The sequence below is a fragment of the Homo sapiens genome, chromosome 3 (genome assembly GCF_000001405.40).
Source record: "Homo sapiens chromosome 3, GRCh38.p14 Primary Assembly".
Taxonomy (NCBI): Eukaryota; Metazoa; Chordata; class Mammalia; order Primates; family Hominidae; genus Homo; species Homo sapiens.
The window spans coordinates 155,445,252-155,462,437 of NC_000003.12; the positions used below are offsets into that span (position 1 = coordinate 155,445,252).

The following is a 17,186-nucleotide window of genomic DNA, read 5'->3' on the forward strand; positions in this document are numbered from 1 at the left end:
ACGCTGTGAGCCATGCTGTCTTCCTGATGGTTGTCTTTCTCTAATCTTTCTCAATCAGAAGTGTTTGCTAACAACAATTTATCTAAATGAACCTGAAACTGGGTGACTTAAACAACAGAAATGTATTATCTCACAGTTCTGGAGCTAGAAGTCTGAGATCAAGGTGTCAACAGGTTGCTTCCTCTTGAGGTCAGTGAGGGAAGGATCTGTTCCAGACCCCTCTCCTTGGCTTATAGCTGATCATCTCCCTGGGTCTTTTTACATTGTTTCCCCTCTATGTGTATCTATCTGAGTCCAAATTTCCCATTTGCATAAGGACACAATCTTATTCTATTAGGGAATCTTGCATGATACCACTATACCAATGGCACCATTCATATTAGATTATGGCCCACGTTAATGACTTCATTTTAACTTGTTTACTCCTGTGAAGAAAGATGCTATCTCCAAATAAGGTCACATTCTGAGGTACTGAGGGTTAGGACAACACATATTTTTTTTGTGGGATTGGGGGGAATATGCATACAATTCAACCCCTACCTTGGCCAATTCATAAACTGTTCAGGAGCCCCTACACTAATGCATCATCTTGTTACAAAACTAAGACTCAACTAGTAATTAGAAAAAACTTTGTCTAGATGGTATGTTGCTGCTCAACCAACAACAACAAAACAACAAATGTACTCCCCACTTCCACATACACCCCACTTATTCGCTGATCTCTTCAATTATACAGTCTGTAAACATGATTTATTACCAATTTCTGTATTTGATGTGCATTCTCTGGCATCTTTTTTTTTTTTCTTTTTCTTTTATTTTTTTTATTTTGAGACAGAGTCTCGCTCTGTCACCAGGCTGGAGTGCAGTGGCGTGATCTTGGCTCACTGCAACCTCTGCCTCCAGGTTCAAGCAATTCTCCTGCCTCAGCCTCCCGAGTAGCTGGGACTACAGGTGCATGCCACAATGCCCCGCTAATTTTTGTATTTTTAGTAGAGATGGGGTTTCACCATGTTGGCCCAGATGGTCTCGATCTCTTGACCTCGTGATCCACCCACCTCAGCCTCCCAAAGTGCTGGATTATAGGCCTGGCCTGGCATCTTAAAGCTCAAGATTCAAATGGATAATTTAAAAAATGTTCTTAGTGTTTTTGTATTATATTTTTTTATATTGTGTGCAATTATGGAAATATTTTTAAAATTTGTTATCTCTAATGAATTCACAATATATGCAGAAAAAGTTGCTAGAGTGAATAAAGTTGCATAGAAAGTGACTTGTCCACTTGCCAACATTTTTCTGTTTTGCATTGCCTGGGCAGTTACCAACTTGCTTTTGTATTCAAGCAAGACGAAGAAATTACCATTCATGCATTTACCCATTTTTGCTCAGGGCTCAAACAGGGTACCACATTAGTAACTTTTAAAGAAATGATTAGCGAAAGTTGAAAATTTTCACCTACTATAGAAGCTGTCCTTTGTATCAGACAAATCAAACCAAACAAGATTTAAGGCTTTTAGAAAGAGTATTGGTTTCATATATATTTGAAATTTCAGAATCACATCTGCCTCTCAGGCCCAGAGTCTATTTAAGAAACTACAATCACTTTTTTTGTTTTCAGTTTTCAAAGCTTGATACAACCTAAATACTGTTTTTTTATCCAAAATCCAGTCTTAGGAAGGTACTATCTTTTTATAAAGGTCTAAATACTCTTTTATTTTCATATATAAACATGAAGATAATTCTGGAGATTTCCCTAAATAAAACCCAATGTGAACAATCAATGCTGAGAGGCAACCTGAGCTTTTCTTCTCTCATTGTTCCTTTTTATTTTGCAGAAAACTCTGAAGCATTTAGTCACCTAACCTATTGAAGAAGGGTGAGCTCACCTGGGCCTTGAGTACCTGAATCAAGTCAACTTTAGAAGATGAAACTGGGGGGAAAGGGGAGATACCCAAGAGAATGTGTCATACTCAGTAATAAGTAAGGTAGCTTGTTAATATCCACTATCAGTTTTGGGTATAGGTGACTAATATCCTTCTACACTGCCATTATTGAACTTAATGTCTACTTTCAGAAATGTATCCTAGGTGATCTCCCAGCCTATTCCTCCACTCTGAATATTTCAGTCTCAATATACAAAAGGGTTTGATCCCTTTGAACATGCAGCAGGCATAGACGTGTCTGGAACATGAGGTACAAATCTGAGAAACTAACAGTCCAGCTTACCTGATTCCTAAAGAACAACCCCCATTTCTATCCCCACATCTCTATGTCTGGGTTCCCCAACCCCAGCTTCCATCTTGCCTGTTTTTCCTGGGTTAACCTAATGGACACAATTATTAGCATCTCCATAGTCTGAAATTTGTAAATTAATGTGCATCAGTATCTGCTCTGGAAAGCTGTGGATGATGCATCAGTATTTAGCAGTTACATCAAGCAATTTAGTCACCTAGATTTGTGATTTGGTTGGTGGCCTTTCAGATGGGATGTCTGGCAGTAGGAAGATACCTCCTCCTGGATCATGGCTCAGCTGGCTCTGAGTTCCCACTTTAATTTCTGGCTTAGTGGAAGCTAGGAAGTGATTCAGTGGAAGTGAAATTGAATCTCAAAGCATTTCCTAAATAAGCAGGTGTCCTTTTTTGGTTGAGGCAGACTCTGGCTCCCTAAGGCAGACAGAGGGGATACAAAGTATATTCCTACTGTTTTCAGGCTGTCTTTGTTTCCGGAGTAAAAGATGGAATAGAATTTTTTTTCCTCAGTCTAGCACCACTTAGTAAATTTCTTTCCAGTTTATTATAATTATTTTTAAGTTTTAGCTTTTGATAGCATTGCAAGTCTTTTTTTCCTTTTGCTGTCACAAGCAATTTAACTGAGAGCTGTTAGACCACTGTCATTTGAAACAGGCATCTCTGCTACCATCTACCATCTGTTTAACTGTTATTAAAGTCTCAGATAATGTGTATGATTCTAAAATACACAGTAGTAAGTTATTTTGTGTTCATTTATCTGCCTAGAGTCTGAGAAGTTGATTCTTTGAAAAATAAGCCAAGTTGTAGTTTATCTTTCAGGAGGGAAAATTTTCTTGGTCAATCTCCAGCCTTCTACTTATTTGTAGTCTACCGTTTTGATTATGAGTTCTGGAAAACTCTGTATAACAGAAACTTCTCTTAAATTGTTATGAATTGTTACATAAGAGCCACGATTTCTCATCTGATCCTTCAAATAGATGTTCCCAGGAAGTTGCTTGATATTGGATTTCAAGAAATACTCTATTTCCTCAGGAATTGGTATGTTGTGATTAAATACAACTCTGCCGTCGGTGATTGTGATTCAGACTCCCACATGGTGGGGATTCAGTGAGTTGTGTTTCAACAGCATAGTGATTTGGGGCACATGTTTTATAATCCTATACATGGACAGTGAGAATATTGTTGCTGTGTGTGGCAGACACGTGGTATTGATTGCTGATTCTGAACACAGCAGCCATTCTCCTACCCCTTTTTCTAAGCTGACAGAACCTGACTTTCATGAGTGAGGCTGCAAATGTCAGATGCCCCCTTGCAGCTAGAGGTAGGCATATGACCCAGTTCTGACTAGTGAAGCATAATTGGAAGTCTATTGAGAGGCTCTTAGGAAAGATTCTCTTCCTTGATAAAGAGTCAGGGTGGGAGAAGAGAAGCTCCACAGCACCTGATTAGAAAAAAGAGGCAGAGAGACCCCAACCCTCTCTTCCTGCCTATGAATATTGATGTGAGAAGAAGTGGTATTTGGAGCTACTGGAGTCATTATGTGACAAAAAGATGTCCTTAGCAAGTAAGGGATGGCACTCAAGCCACTGAAACACCCCTGGACTTATCTCCCTCCAAACCTTGCAGTAGTTATTCCCTGTAGTTACCGATATCCTGTTCTTCTCTACTCCTGGACACACAGGGACACAGCATTTCTCCACCAAAGCATGGCTCCATGACTCGGTAGATGAAATGAAATGTTGCCAGAAGCGTCGTGTGCTATCTCGTGTTTGACTCTCTACCTGCTCTTCCCCTGCAGTAGTAATCGTGGGAGCATGTATATTTACGGAGGTGTCATAAGATCAAACAGCCTGGAAGGAAGAGCCAATGCCTGAAAAACAGCTGCTGTGACGAGCTGCCTGAACCCTCAGCCAACTTTGTTACTTTGTGTGAGTAAGAAATTAACTTCTGTTGTGTTAAGCCACTGGTGGGGGTTGTTTGTTACCATAGCATAAAGTAGTTTATCATGCCTGATACAATCTGTATTCTTTTAAGCCATTTATAATTGGTAGGCTCCTCCATGTAGCTGAAAACATCCTAATTCATACTATACACAGCATTTGACATGAAAACAACTTTCCTGTAAAATGAGACATTTGCCTTCATGGCAAAATAAATATCGACTACTTTTGCTTGCCAAGATGCCAATCTCTTTCTAGAAACAGCATCCCAATCTTACTTAAGGAAACCACTGCAGCAGACATGGCCATGCTCTGCCCATGTCTTCTCAGCACTTGCTTCTACTCACAGAAGATTGCTGTCACTGCAAACTCCTGTGTCTCTGCTTGAGAACTTTCGTCTGGTTGCAATAGAACACTCATCTCACACACAGGACAAGCCAAAAGTGCCCAGGAGTTAATGCCCAGAAGCCCCCAGCAAATTGTGTAAATAATAGATAATGTTGAAAAATATCCTAGCTTCCTCACTTCTGGGTTGAGATAACTCTGATGTGTGTTCTAGATTGTCTCCCTGTGGAATAAAGCTCCAATTGCTCATTGTGGGAACTGCTTTGATAACACATCCTTTATTGGCTTCTCTTCCTTCCCTGCCTCTCTTCTCCACTCCCCTACTGAGGTTTTCTAGGATCATATCCAAAATAAACCACTTGTTCTTGAAACCTTGTTTCAGAGTCTGCTCTGGGGGAACCCAAACCAAGACGTCATTCTCTCCAAGGGGAACCAATCTTTTTGGGACTGGCAGTTAAGTTAGATTACTTGCTCTGTCTTTAATATTTGGATCTTGAACAGAATCCCACAAAGACTATCTTTAGGGAGATAGACGCTTTTCAAAGGGTCTGCTTGTTAGTTCCTTCTTTATGGATTCCTGCAGTTCTTTTTGATACTTCTTTTCTGAGCCAGATTTTTGGTTTCTCTTCCATTCTATTAGTTACCTTATATCCCTTCAATACATTCCTTTTGGGATGAAATAGCTAGAATTTCTTCCTGTGGCTTGCAGTAAAAGAAAACAATGAATTTAAACAACACATTAAACCTCTTTCAGATATAAAGACTGATATAAATGAATGAGTTATAAAATGTATAAGAGCACTAAATGCTATATTTTAATTATTCACGAAATCAAATCCATAGGAGTCACTTTAAAATGTCAATGTTTTCATGTTTCTTTATATTTCATTTGAAATAGTGTCTCTAGCCAGTGAAAATGTCTTTACAGCATTTCAATACAATGCCCATGAACAATTATTGATCTGGAAGGGTAAAATAACTTGGTAGTGGTGGGACGGGTCATTGTGGTTGTTGTTGTTTTATTTTGTTTTGTTTTTATCTGGGGTGGTTACTAAGTTTCCATTATCTAGTGTAGTACTTTTAATTAAACATTTTTAAGATAAAAAAACTTTTTAAGGCATTTCTATGCGAAGAAACCTGGATTGCTATAATAATAGAGAAAATTTGTTTATTTATACAAACCTTACATACCTAACCATGAGGATTCATACAGCAAAGCTGTTTAAATATGATTTAAAGAAGATCCCCTAATGCCCAAATCTATGACAAGTTGAGTAACAAAATTAATAATGAGAATAATGGACTATAACCCCCAAAATAAAAAATATATATTGATGAGTCCATACTGATACCAATCATTCAAGAAATAAATAAGAGAATTCAAATTAATAAATATAGAAGAAATAACAGAAATATAAAATCATCATTTGATAACATTACAGTAATAATTACCTCAATCAAGAATCATTAATAGGTAAGGGTGTGATGAAAAACAGGATATTTACATGGTCTCAATTATCTTGCCACGAGAAATTTACCAAATACAAAGAGGAAAATAATGTTAAGTGAAGAAAATTTGAAAGACTGCCTTATCCAAGTGATCTAAGTTAACATCACTAGTAATTAGACAAAATGTCATTATGTGCCTCCTGATTTGATGTGTTTAGAAGGTGTGATGGTTCATTTTATGTGTCAACTTAACAGGGCCATGTAGTGCCCAGATATTTAGCTAAACATTACTTATGGGAATGTCTATGTGGGTATTTCTTGATGAGGTTAACATTTGAATTAGTAAACTGAATAAAGCAGATTTCCATCTGCAATGTGTGCGGGCCTCTTTCCATTTTTTGGAGGCCTGAATGGACTAAAAGTATTCTGTTGGTGCAAAGTAATCATGGTTTTTGCCATTAAAAGTAATGGCAAAATACTTTTGCACCAACCTAATATAAGTGAGAAAGAATGTTTTCTCTCTTCCTGTCTTCAAACTGTGACAGAAGTCTTCTGCTTTTGGGCCTAAATTCAGACTGAATCTTACATCATTGGCTTTCCTGGTTCTCAGACCTTCACTGTCAGACTGGAACCAACACTATCAGCTCACTTGCTTCTCAGGCCTTCCTACTCAAACTGGAATGTATGTACCATCAGCTCTTCTGCCGGGACTTCTCAGTCCCCATAATCACATCAGCCCATTCCTTATAATAAATCTCTCTCAATCCCTCTCTCTCTGTCTCTCTCTCACACACACATACATTCTCTCTCTCTATCTCCTACTGGCCCTATGTATTAGTCTGTTTTCATGTTGCTGATAAAGACATACCCAAGACTGGGAAGAAAAAGAGGTTTAATCGGACTTACAAGTTCCACATGACTGGGGAGGCCTCAGAATCATGATAGGAGGAGAAAGGCACTTCTTACACGGTGGCAGCAAGAGAAAATGAGGAAGATGCAAAAGCAAAAATCCTTGATAAAACCATCAATCTCGTAAGACTTATTCACTACCATGAGAACAGTATGGGGGAATTGCCCCATGCTTCAAATTATCTCCCACTGGGTCCCTCCCACAACACATGGGAATTATGGGAGTATAATTCAAGGTGAGATTTGGGTGGGGACACAGAGCCAAACCATATCACCCTGTTTCTTTGGAGAACCCTGGTTAACATAGATGATTTTGTTATCAGGAGTAATTGGTTCTGGGGCTTCTAGAATTGAGAGTCTAATCTGATTGGATTTAAAGACACTAATGACTCTATCTTCAGTAGTAAAAAGAGCACTGTTAGTTAGGGTTATCAAGTGGAGATATTTAGGGTACCTTTATGGCCAGATCAAGTATGGCTTGATCTGAAGGAAGTACAAGAAGGAAGGAGCTGGGTGACTATGTATATAATACTTTTGAACATTTTGGGGAGTCTAATAAATGTAATGACATTAGATGGTTGTTCCTGATGTCAATGGGCAAAATGATGAAATAAGGATGAGCTCTGGGATTCAAATTCCCACCTCAAGTGCCACATAAATGACCTCAAAACATCTATGTATGCTATGAAGGAGACCCTTATCTCCTATAATACAAGGCTGAGATTGCTGAAAATTAAATGCAGAGTATCCCATTCTGTGACTAACTGAAATATATTGCAAGTTGAACTCCCAGCCTCACAAGGTATCTACTATTAAAATGAGGATATCGATCAGGAAATAAGTTGGATCCTGTAAGTTAAAGTGGGTACATGTGGGAAGACTCTGATAATGCTGGTGATAGTGAGCCCCTAAATTCTGATGAAGCTTATTTTCCAATAGAAGAGCCCTCCTCACACCCAGTGGAAGCAGCATTACATCAGGTGTATGGAATTTTGCCAACAAGGCATAATCTGAATTAAATCTTAACACTCTTCAGAAGTGTCAAGACCATGAAAGACAAAGGCTAAGGAACTTTCACAGATGGAAGGAAATCAAGAAGATATGTCAATTAAATGCAATGTGGGATCCTGGATTGGAATCTAGGCCAGAAAAAGGATATTAGTGGGATACATGGTATAATTTAAATAGAGACCATAAATAAGTTAATATTATTGTATAGTGCTAACTTCCTGATTCTGATCATTTTACTGTGGTTTTTTGAGATGAAACATTTGGGGGAACTGGGTGAAGGATATGCAGGAATTATTTGTACTATTTTTGAAACTGTTTACCAAGTCTTCATTTCAAAATGAAAAGTTCAAAAATGAAAAAATAAATTCAAAACATTACTTAAAGTAAATCATATAAACTTGCATTAAAATACAACGCAAAATGACTACTTATTCAATGCATAAATGTCTGGAATTCAGAATAAAGAACTGATTAATGAAGAGAATGGGAGTATTAAGAAAAATGTAACTGGAACCAAGTGAAGGATTTTGACATGAGTTATTTTGTTTCTATATAAATTTCTGATTAATAATTAGAAATTAATAATTTCTGATTAATAATTAGAAATTAATAATTTATGATTAATTTCTGATAATAAATTATAAATATGTATTTATCTATAGATAAATATAGATATTCTATTTCTTCTAATAAATATGCATCTTTCTGCAAATTAAAAATAGAAATTTCTCTCTATCTTTATAAGTAGAAAAGGATGGATACAGGGAGGGAATTATGCATAAGTCAGAAAGGTCTGTGGGAAAAAAATTAAAATTGTACTCCAGAGAAAAGAATAAGTCAGCCTAGTGGTTATACAATAATTAAATGGAAAGAAGATATAATAGTATGCCATAAGATAACCATAATAGTGATATAGTATAGCAGCAAAAATTTGAGCATTTACTATGTGCCAACTTCTACTAATTAAGAACTTTATGTATTAATTCATATAATCTTCATGTTATTGAGCAAATGGGCTTGCTATCTGATGTACACAGAAGCCAATACCATGGCACCAGCTTTTGAGAAAAGAAAGGTTTTACTGCAAATCAGCCAGCAAGGAGTTGGGCTCAAATCTGTCTCCCTGATTTGGAATCTAATGAAAGTTTTTCAGCCTGAGCAACATGACAAAACAGCATCTCAACAAAAAAATACAAAAATTAGCTGGACGTAGTGGTGCTACTTGGGGGACTGAGGCAGGAGGATCATTAGATCCCAGGAGGTCTAGGCTGCAGTGAGCCATGATTGTGCCACTCCACTCCAACCTGAGTGACAGAACAAGACCCCATCTTAAATAAATAAATAAATAAGAAAAAAAGAAAAAAGAAAGTTACAAGGGATCAGAGGGCAAAGAAAAGGATTTAGGAATGTTGACTTGGCATGGGTCTGATTGGACAGTTTCAAATTTGACCATTTATGGTAAGGTGTATTGAGGCAGATTTTAGCCCCAGCTCTTCAGGGCCAAGAGACCCTTTGCTTTTGAAAGAGTCCTAGTGTTCAGGTTCCAGTCATGTCTCAGTCTTTTTGGTTTCCAGGGAAGGAATCATTGGTTCAAGATGTTGTTAGAAGTCAAAGCTTTTTTTAATTATGTCTTCCTGGACTACATGACTTGTAGTTTTCCTCTGCTATACCTACAAGGTAACTCGACATTTTGTTATCAACAGAGTAGGCCCAGTTTGGGCTGGTCCCCCTGTTACACATAAAAGATGAGGTGGGTCATTATTCCCATTTTACAGGTCATAATAAGATATAAAGGAAAAGGGATTTGAATGCAAGCACTTTGGCAAAGAGGTGAAGCTTCTAACCACTAGTCTATAGTACCACCTTGAATTTGCAAGAAAGGATAAAACCAACTAGTTTTCTTTTCTCCTGAGAGATGAAGTTTCTAATTTACAATACTATTATGTGTTAATATAATTAATACCCATAAATAGGATATTTGTGTCACCGGAATGTGATGAACTAGGGAAGGTGAGGCTCTCAGGGAGGAATTGGAGGAAGGGAAGGGGGTGGTGAGAAGGAGCCGACCCTGGGATGCAGAAGCCACAACCCTCACCCTGCCACTGGTTGCAGCTCCCCCAGAGGCAAGGGCTCTCAAGGGGACTGGAGTGAACTACTCCTGCCACACAGATGCTGTCTTGTCCCCAAGATGGTCCCTACATGTGGCATGATTAGAAAATAGTCTTTCAGGTAGAATTTGATCTGAACTGGCATTGGTCCTAAATTAGCACCTGGGAGGAGGGTCAGCAGAGAATGGTAGATAAATGCTCCTAAGTGTGCATTTAAATTTTAAAAACAGCTTCAATTAGTATATTCTGCGTTCAGAAAATGTGGACACCAACATTCACTACTCACTGAAGTTAATTGAGCAAGAAAAATAACATGAAAGCATTTGAGAAATATTGGTTCTGGGAACAGAATTTGCAAATGAATTTAGGGTAGGGTCAACTGGAAAGCATACAGAAGCCAGGGAGGTAATGGATTATAACTGAGTAAAACAGGCAAAGCTGTTTCTTTTGAAGAGGCTTTGTTTCCTAATTAAGCACACAGAATATTCTTTACTTCTACAAAGAAATACACTTTCTCCAATTTTGTTTTTAAACCCATAGGCTATCTTTTCTTTTCCTGGCTTTGTTGGAGAGTTACACACAGAGAAATAGTTCTTGCCTGCAGGACTTTCAGTGATGAAAGCACAATCACAAATGAGGACTGATAAGCCCTAATAATGAGGGTGACAAGGACTACTAGGTGGAGAAGTGAAGCTGGAACATGCACGCCCATTCATGAGCACAGGCTCTGTGTGCCTGCAACTGGGTTCTTACCACGCAGAATGTGGGCCAGTGTTGTCTGCCCTGTCGATTGTTCAAGACAGGCTAAAAGTCCACATTTTATATGAAATACCTTGAAATTCTGATGTTGACTTAAAACTTTTCAAACTATGTGCTGACCTCCTTCTCAAAATACTTTCGTCTCTTTCTCTATGATACTCCCCTGAATGTCCTCCTTCTTTACCGTATCCTCCTCTTCTGATCATCATTTAAATAGGGGTGTCCAATCTTTTGGCTTCCCTGGGCCACACTGCAAGAAAGGTAACTGTCTTGGGCCACACATAAAATACACTAACACTAATGATAGCTAATGAGCTAAAAAAAAAAAAAAAAATCTCATAATGGTTTAAGAAAGTTTACAAATTTGTGTTGGGCCACATTCAAAGCCATCCTGGGCTGCCTTTAGCCCACAGGCCATGGGTTGGACAAGTTTGATCTAAAACAAAGGTGCCCAAATCCTCTTTTCTGCTCTATTTACATTCCCTACCTGGGCAACCTCACTTGATCCCATGGCGTTAAGCCTATTTCCAGCCCTTATTTCTGCCCCTGACTCCAGACTGTCAACTAGACATCTCCAAAAGGAGGTCTAATGGGAATCTCAAATTAACATACCCAGAGGAAACTCAGATTCCTCCCTGAACCACTCATACCTTCTCTTCTCCATTTCAGGAAATGGAACTACCATCCGCCAAGATATTCAAGAGAGAAAAAAATACATTTTCTGCATAAATGGTGAAATCTTTTGTTTCCTTCCCACTCCTTAGTAGACCCTTTCAACCCCTTTCCCACCTTTTTCACCTGGAAAATTTCTACTCATCCTTCACAAATCAATTTGAGCATCATCGCTGCCTCCAGGCAAGGTGGCCACATAATTTGGGTGGCCCAGTGCAAAATAAAAAACGAAAATCTCACAGGTGGAATTCAACATATCCCTTCCACAGGAGGTCATCCCAATCCAAAATATTTAGACTTTGCACAGGGAAACACTTGGCATCTGATTTGGGAACAGGCGAGAAGTCCCTGCTGATCCAAACACGGCTGTTGCTCTGCCAGCCAAGGCAGAAACAACTGCTGCCTTGCGTTGCCCCGGACACTGTGGCGCACAAACCTGAGCTTGACCCTCCATGCTTCTACACTGTGGCCCCTGCTGGGGAAAAAGAGTGATGGCCAAACCTGACCTTGAACCTCCATGCTTCTATGCTGTGGCCTCTGCTGGGAAAAAGGAGGATGATGGCCTCCTCCTGCCCTAGAGTTCTAGCAGGCTGTAAATGGGCCAGGGAGGAGGGAGGCAGCCAAAAGTGAATAGCACAAGATGAGCAGAGGCTTCAAGTGCCCATCATGTGCTCCATTGTCCCATTGGACTTCATTTACAAAACACAAATTCAAAGATGAAACTAAAAATTTCAAAAGGGGGCCACAGAGCATTAAGCCCCAAGCACTAACAATTCTGAGGGTAAGGCCCTAAGCTACCTGATTGCATGCCTCTGTAGTTGGTCCTGCCTCCAGAAAATTTTCCCTGACCAGGCCCCTCAAACCAAGCTAGCTGCCCCTTTCTGTTCTTCCTATTTAACCCATGCTTGCCTTTGTCGCTGCACTTAGTACATTATATTAATATTATCTATTTATGTGTATGTTTCACAAAATATTTTATAACTTCATAAGGTCAAGGAATTCGGTTAAATCTTTTTTCTCCAATTTCTAAATCTTAATACTATATTAAAATTGCTTCTTCATATGTCTTTGATAAGTGTTAAATATGCTGACTGAGCTGGATGCATTTTATGTGCCAAGCCAGATCTGCTTGGCCCCACCAATACCATCACCCCCATCAATGTCACCCTTGCTTCCCCGCCAGAGCAGCCTCAGCAATAGATCACACCTCACCCATGGCTATTACATCCAAACTTCTGTGGCACTGCCACCACCAACTGAGGAGTTCCCGTGCACAGCTCCAAATGACAAAGGGAGATCTTCATAATCTGCCAGAGGGGACCCAGAGAGGCTCCAGCTTCCTCAGGGATAGATTAGAAAGTGTGGGTAAGGCCGGGGACAGTGTCTCATGCCTGTAGTCCCGGCACTCTGGGAGGCCAAGGCAGGCAGATCACTTGAGGTCAGGAGTTCAAGACCACCCTGGCCAACATGGTGAAACCCCATCTCTACCAAAAATACAAAAATTAGTGGGGCGTAGTAGTGCATGCCTGTAATTCCAGCTACTAAGGAGGCTGAGGCAGGAGAATCACTTGAACCTGGGAGGCGGAGGTTGCCGTGAGCCAAGATTGCACCACTGCACTCCAGCCTGGGGAACAGAGCAAGACTCCATGTCAAAAAAAAAAAAAAAAAGAAAGAAAGAAGAAAGAAAGAAAGAAAGAAGGAAGGAAGGAAGGAAGGAAGGAAGGAAGGAAGGAAGGAAGGAAGGAAGGAAGGAAGGAAGGAAGGAAAGAAAGAAAGAAAGAAAGAAAGAAAGAAAGAAAGAAAGAAAGAGAAAGAAGAGAGAGAAATAAGAAAGAGAAAGAAAGAAAAAGAAAAAGAAAGAAAGAGAAAAAGAAAGAAAGAAAGAAAGAAAGGAAGAAAGAAAGAAACCATGTTTAGAAAGAGAAAGAAAGAAAAAAAGTGTGGGTAAACTGGAAATGTGGACTTCAAATAGTTAAGTCCCATGGAGGCAGATTTCAACAATGCAAGACAAGAGATAGAAAAAAGTCAGCAGATACATTGTCTATTATTTCTTCCCCTAACGGACTGCTCTGAGATGCGATGGTTTTATTTGACCTCTCTGGAAATGTCTTAAAAGACGGGACAACCAGCTATTTTGTTCTGAAGGCATGGTTACCTTGGTATTATAATACTCTACCTTGTATTTTCCTACCCTCTTTCTTTACTGCACTCTTTTCCCCCTTACTCTTGCTTCCCTAGGGTTGTACCTCCATAAAACAGTAGCACAAAAGCTATCCCCTTCTGCTGTCTACTCCAAGAAACCAACGCTGAGAAAACTGGTTCCAGAGTGGGATAGTTAGTAATAACAACGGGCAAGCTGTGACATTAGAATTACTAAAGCTCTTATTTGTGGCTAATTGGGATAAGGTGGGGGTTTAAGGTAAGTCTTTGAATATTAAGTTGTCGCTGCAATTTACCAATATAAGGATGATGATAATTATAGGACTTTGGCAGTGGTTAGATACTTATGATGACATTGAAATCCTTGATAGGTAGTATGAGGCAGCTAATTGCTATTTTAAGGCATTCTGTGACCATGTTTGATCTATGGCAGGTGGTGGGACCAGATCATAAATGTATCAAACAAGAACCAGAGAAACACCTGTATGGGTAAATCTTGAGGGTGTTAGACCAGGGAAGTAGAATTAAGGCTGAAGAGGAAAATATTTATTAGAGTGTATAACTCAACCATAATTTCGAATTTCATGTCTAACAAGGACACCAGTCCTAGCAGTTTGCTGAGATGACTCCTCGAAGCCTGGATTCACAATGTAAATTAAATTGAGTGAAAATGTAAAGTAAATTGAGTTAAAATGTTGGAACCTCTTTGGCAGAGTAATTGAGAAAGGGGTCAGAGGCTCAAGAAAGGGGGACTATTAGAATAAAGACACTGAATCCCCCAGCTGTTTATATTTTCCAGGAGGGCCTGAGTACCAGCATCACTGAGAACCCACAGTTGGTTGTCCTGTCAGGCCAGGGTTGACTCTAATAGCAATGGGGATATGGGGAGTTGATCAAGGCAGAGCCCAGGTGGATGTAATGACCATAATGAGCAGCATGGCCAGAGGGGCAGTGAAGGTGCCTTGTCCCAAAGTGATGTTTTATTATAGCTAAGAAATGATGATTTTCCCAAAGATGACACAGACAAGCAGCCATCTACAGCAGTGGTTATCAAAGTGTGGACCTGAGATCAGCAGCATTAGCACCATCTGGGAACTTGTTTGAAATGAAAATTCTTGAGCCTCATCTCAGCTACTGATGCAGAAATTCTGGGGATGTGGCCCAGCAATCTGTGTTTTAACTAGCTCTCTAGGTGGTTGAGATGCACACTAAAGTTTAAGAATCATTGAACCAGCGTTTTGATTTGTACAATCAGAAATAATAGAGAACTGATGAACATAGGATGATGCTGGACAGTATAATGGACAGTTGCAATTTCTAGTTACTAGATCTAAGTCAGCTCACAGATCTAGAACCCAGTGATTGAAAGGAAAGCTTGTTCCTCACAATGTCACACAAGCATGACATTTATTTCTTTAATCCTTGCCCAAATTTGCCAAAATATGTACTGGACAGACAAAAAGTCTAGGTATTCTCACAGTTGGCACCAATACCAGGGGACACAAAACACCACCACCATTGTCTTGTAGTTGGAAATGGAGTATTATCAGTATCAGATTATAAATGGGATTTGGGCTCAAGTCCATCTTACAATGGGTCCAATAGATATAAGGACCCATTCTGTTACTTCTCTAGTCTCTGAATGTCTAATGGGATAGATATACTTAGAAGTTGGCCCTTAGTTTCCTGACCTGAGTTAAGGGACTTTATGATAGAAAGGAGCAGTGTTAGCCCCCCCTCCAGGCCAAGATAGTTAATCAGAAGCAATATCTCCTCCCAAGATGAACTGCAGAAATTAGTACCAACAAAGACTTAAAGGATTCATGGATGGCAATTCCCATTGTATCCCTAGTCATTTCATCTATCTGGTCTCTGCAAACATACACACAAATACACAAAGATAGATGATAGATGATAGATAGATAGATAGATATAGAAGATAGATAGATAGATAGATAGATAGATAGATAGATAGATAGATAGATAGATAGATAGTGGTGGGTGCTAGTGGGCTACTGCAAATTCAACCAGGTGGTATCCACAATTGCAGCTTCTGTGCTAGATATAATTTTTCTTTTTAAGAGTATACCAGTCTAACCTCTGGCACTTAGTTTGTGTCTATTATTTTGCTGTATGCTTTATTCCTGACTTTCATCAGTAGGGAAAATCAAAAGCAGCTCACCTTTACATTTGTAAGGACAGCAGTAAATCTTCACGGCCTTGCCCTGGGTCTGTGTTAATTCTACTGTCTATAATGGTATGTTTTGTAATGATCTCTATCATCTTCATATGTCACAGCACATTATGCTAGTCTTCTATATTGATTGACATTTTTCTAATTGGACCTAATAAAGAGAATAGATCAATCAACTTGAATGTCCTGATAAGATACAGACATATCACAAGTTAGACCATAAGTACCTAATGATTAAGGGGCCTGCAACACCAGTGAGATTTTTAGGGACCCAGAGATCTAGAGCATGCAGGGACATATCCTGTGAGGTAAAACCTGAGAGCATGACTATGGTCCACCATGTAACTGCAGTTGGAGCTACCCATCATGAGCATGGTCTTAATAGAAACGCCCAGAAAAAGGTTGAGAAGCACAGGAGCAAACTATTATATGAAGAAAATGGTACTTTTAAGAAAAGACTCAAGTAGTCCAGAAGACACACACAAAAAATGTGATTTGTTTGCCCAGACCTTCAGATCACCTACCTGTTTGGCTCTGGTGTCACTCCCTCAACTCATACTTATGGCCTCATGGGAAATCCTCTATAACCAACTGATGGAGAAGGGAAGACCTTGAGTCAATTCAAAGAGAGTGTGGTATGATATGTTGAGGTTCTCCAGAAAGGGACCACTACCTCCATACAGTTCCTCTCCGGAGTGACCCTAAAGAATAAGCACAGCCACAAGGAGGCTCTTGACAATCAGGTAGATAGGATGACCTATTTTCTGAATATCAGCCAGCCCCCTCCTTTGGTCAATCCAATGCTTGCATGATGATGGGCTCATAAACAAAGTGGCCATAGTATCAGGCTCAGATCCTATGTATGGATTGGAAAAGCAAGGGCTCTGGGAACCAAAAGGTGGAACTAGGACCACCCTTCTCACAATTATTCCAAATGAAGCATTCAAAATGTGTACTTTCTGTTCCTACGATCTTATATCTGCTGTGTTAGTGATCCTCATTCCCAGGCAGTATTGCTTCTTAGAGGACACATTGTGTTCCACTGAACTGGAAATTGCAACTATGTTGATCCATGCCAGTAGATAAGCAAGAAAAGAATTACTGTACTTACTAGTTTAACAAACCCTGATTGCTATGAGAGGTTGGGGTTGTTGCTACCACAATGGGGGCAGAGAGGAGTACATCTGGAGTGCAGCACTCACTGAGGCACCTCGTGGCGACTCTGTGACCAGTGAAACTTGTAAATGGGCACCTGCAGCAACTATTATGTGACAGAGGAAAACAACTGACGGTTGACATCCATTAGGGATTAAGCAGCTGACTACTGACTGAAGATGTGGGAAATAAGAATAGGTGAGAGACAACAGAGATGGTGAGTATCAGCTATGACCCT

General features: G+C 39.6%; 1 protein-coding gene and 1 long non-coding RNA gene across 2 annotated transcripts in view; one reads left to right on the top strand and one right to left on the bottom strand.

Moving 5' to 3' along the window:
- Positions 1 to 3,932: 3,932 nt before the first annotated feature.
- On the top strand, positions 3,933 to 12,502 carry PLCH1-AS1 (PLCH1 antisense RNA 1). Its single transcript, NR_046746.1, has 2 exons — positions 3,933 to 4,174; positions 11,437 to 12,502. It is a non-coding gene; the product is annotated as a PLCH1 antisense RNA 1 (long non-coding RNA).
- Positions 5,683 to 17,186, bottom strand: part of PLCH1 (phospholipase C eta 1) — a 294,138-nt gene continuing 282,634 nt past the window's right edge. Inside the window, exon 24 of the mRNA XM_017005927.2 lies at positions 5,683 to 16,494. Within this exon, the coding sequence (XP_016861416.1) occupies positions 16,463 to 16,494 (32 nt within the window). The 3' untranslated portion in view covers positions 5,683 to 16,462. The remainder of the gene's footprint in view (positions 16,495 to 17,186) is intronic.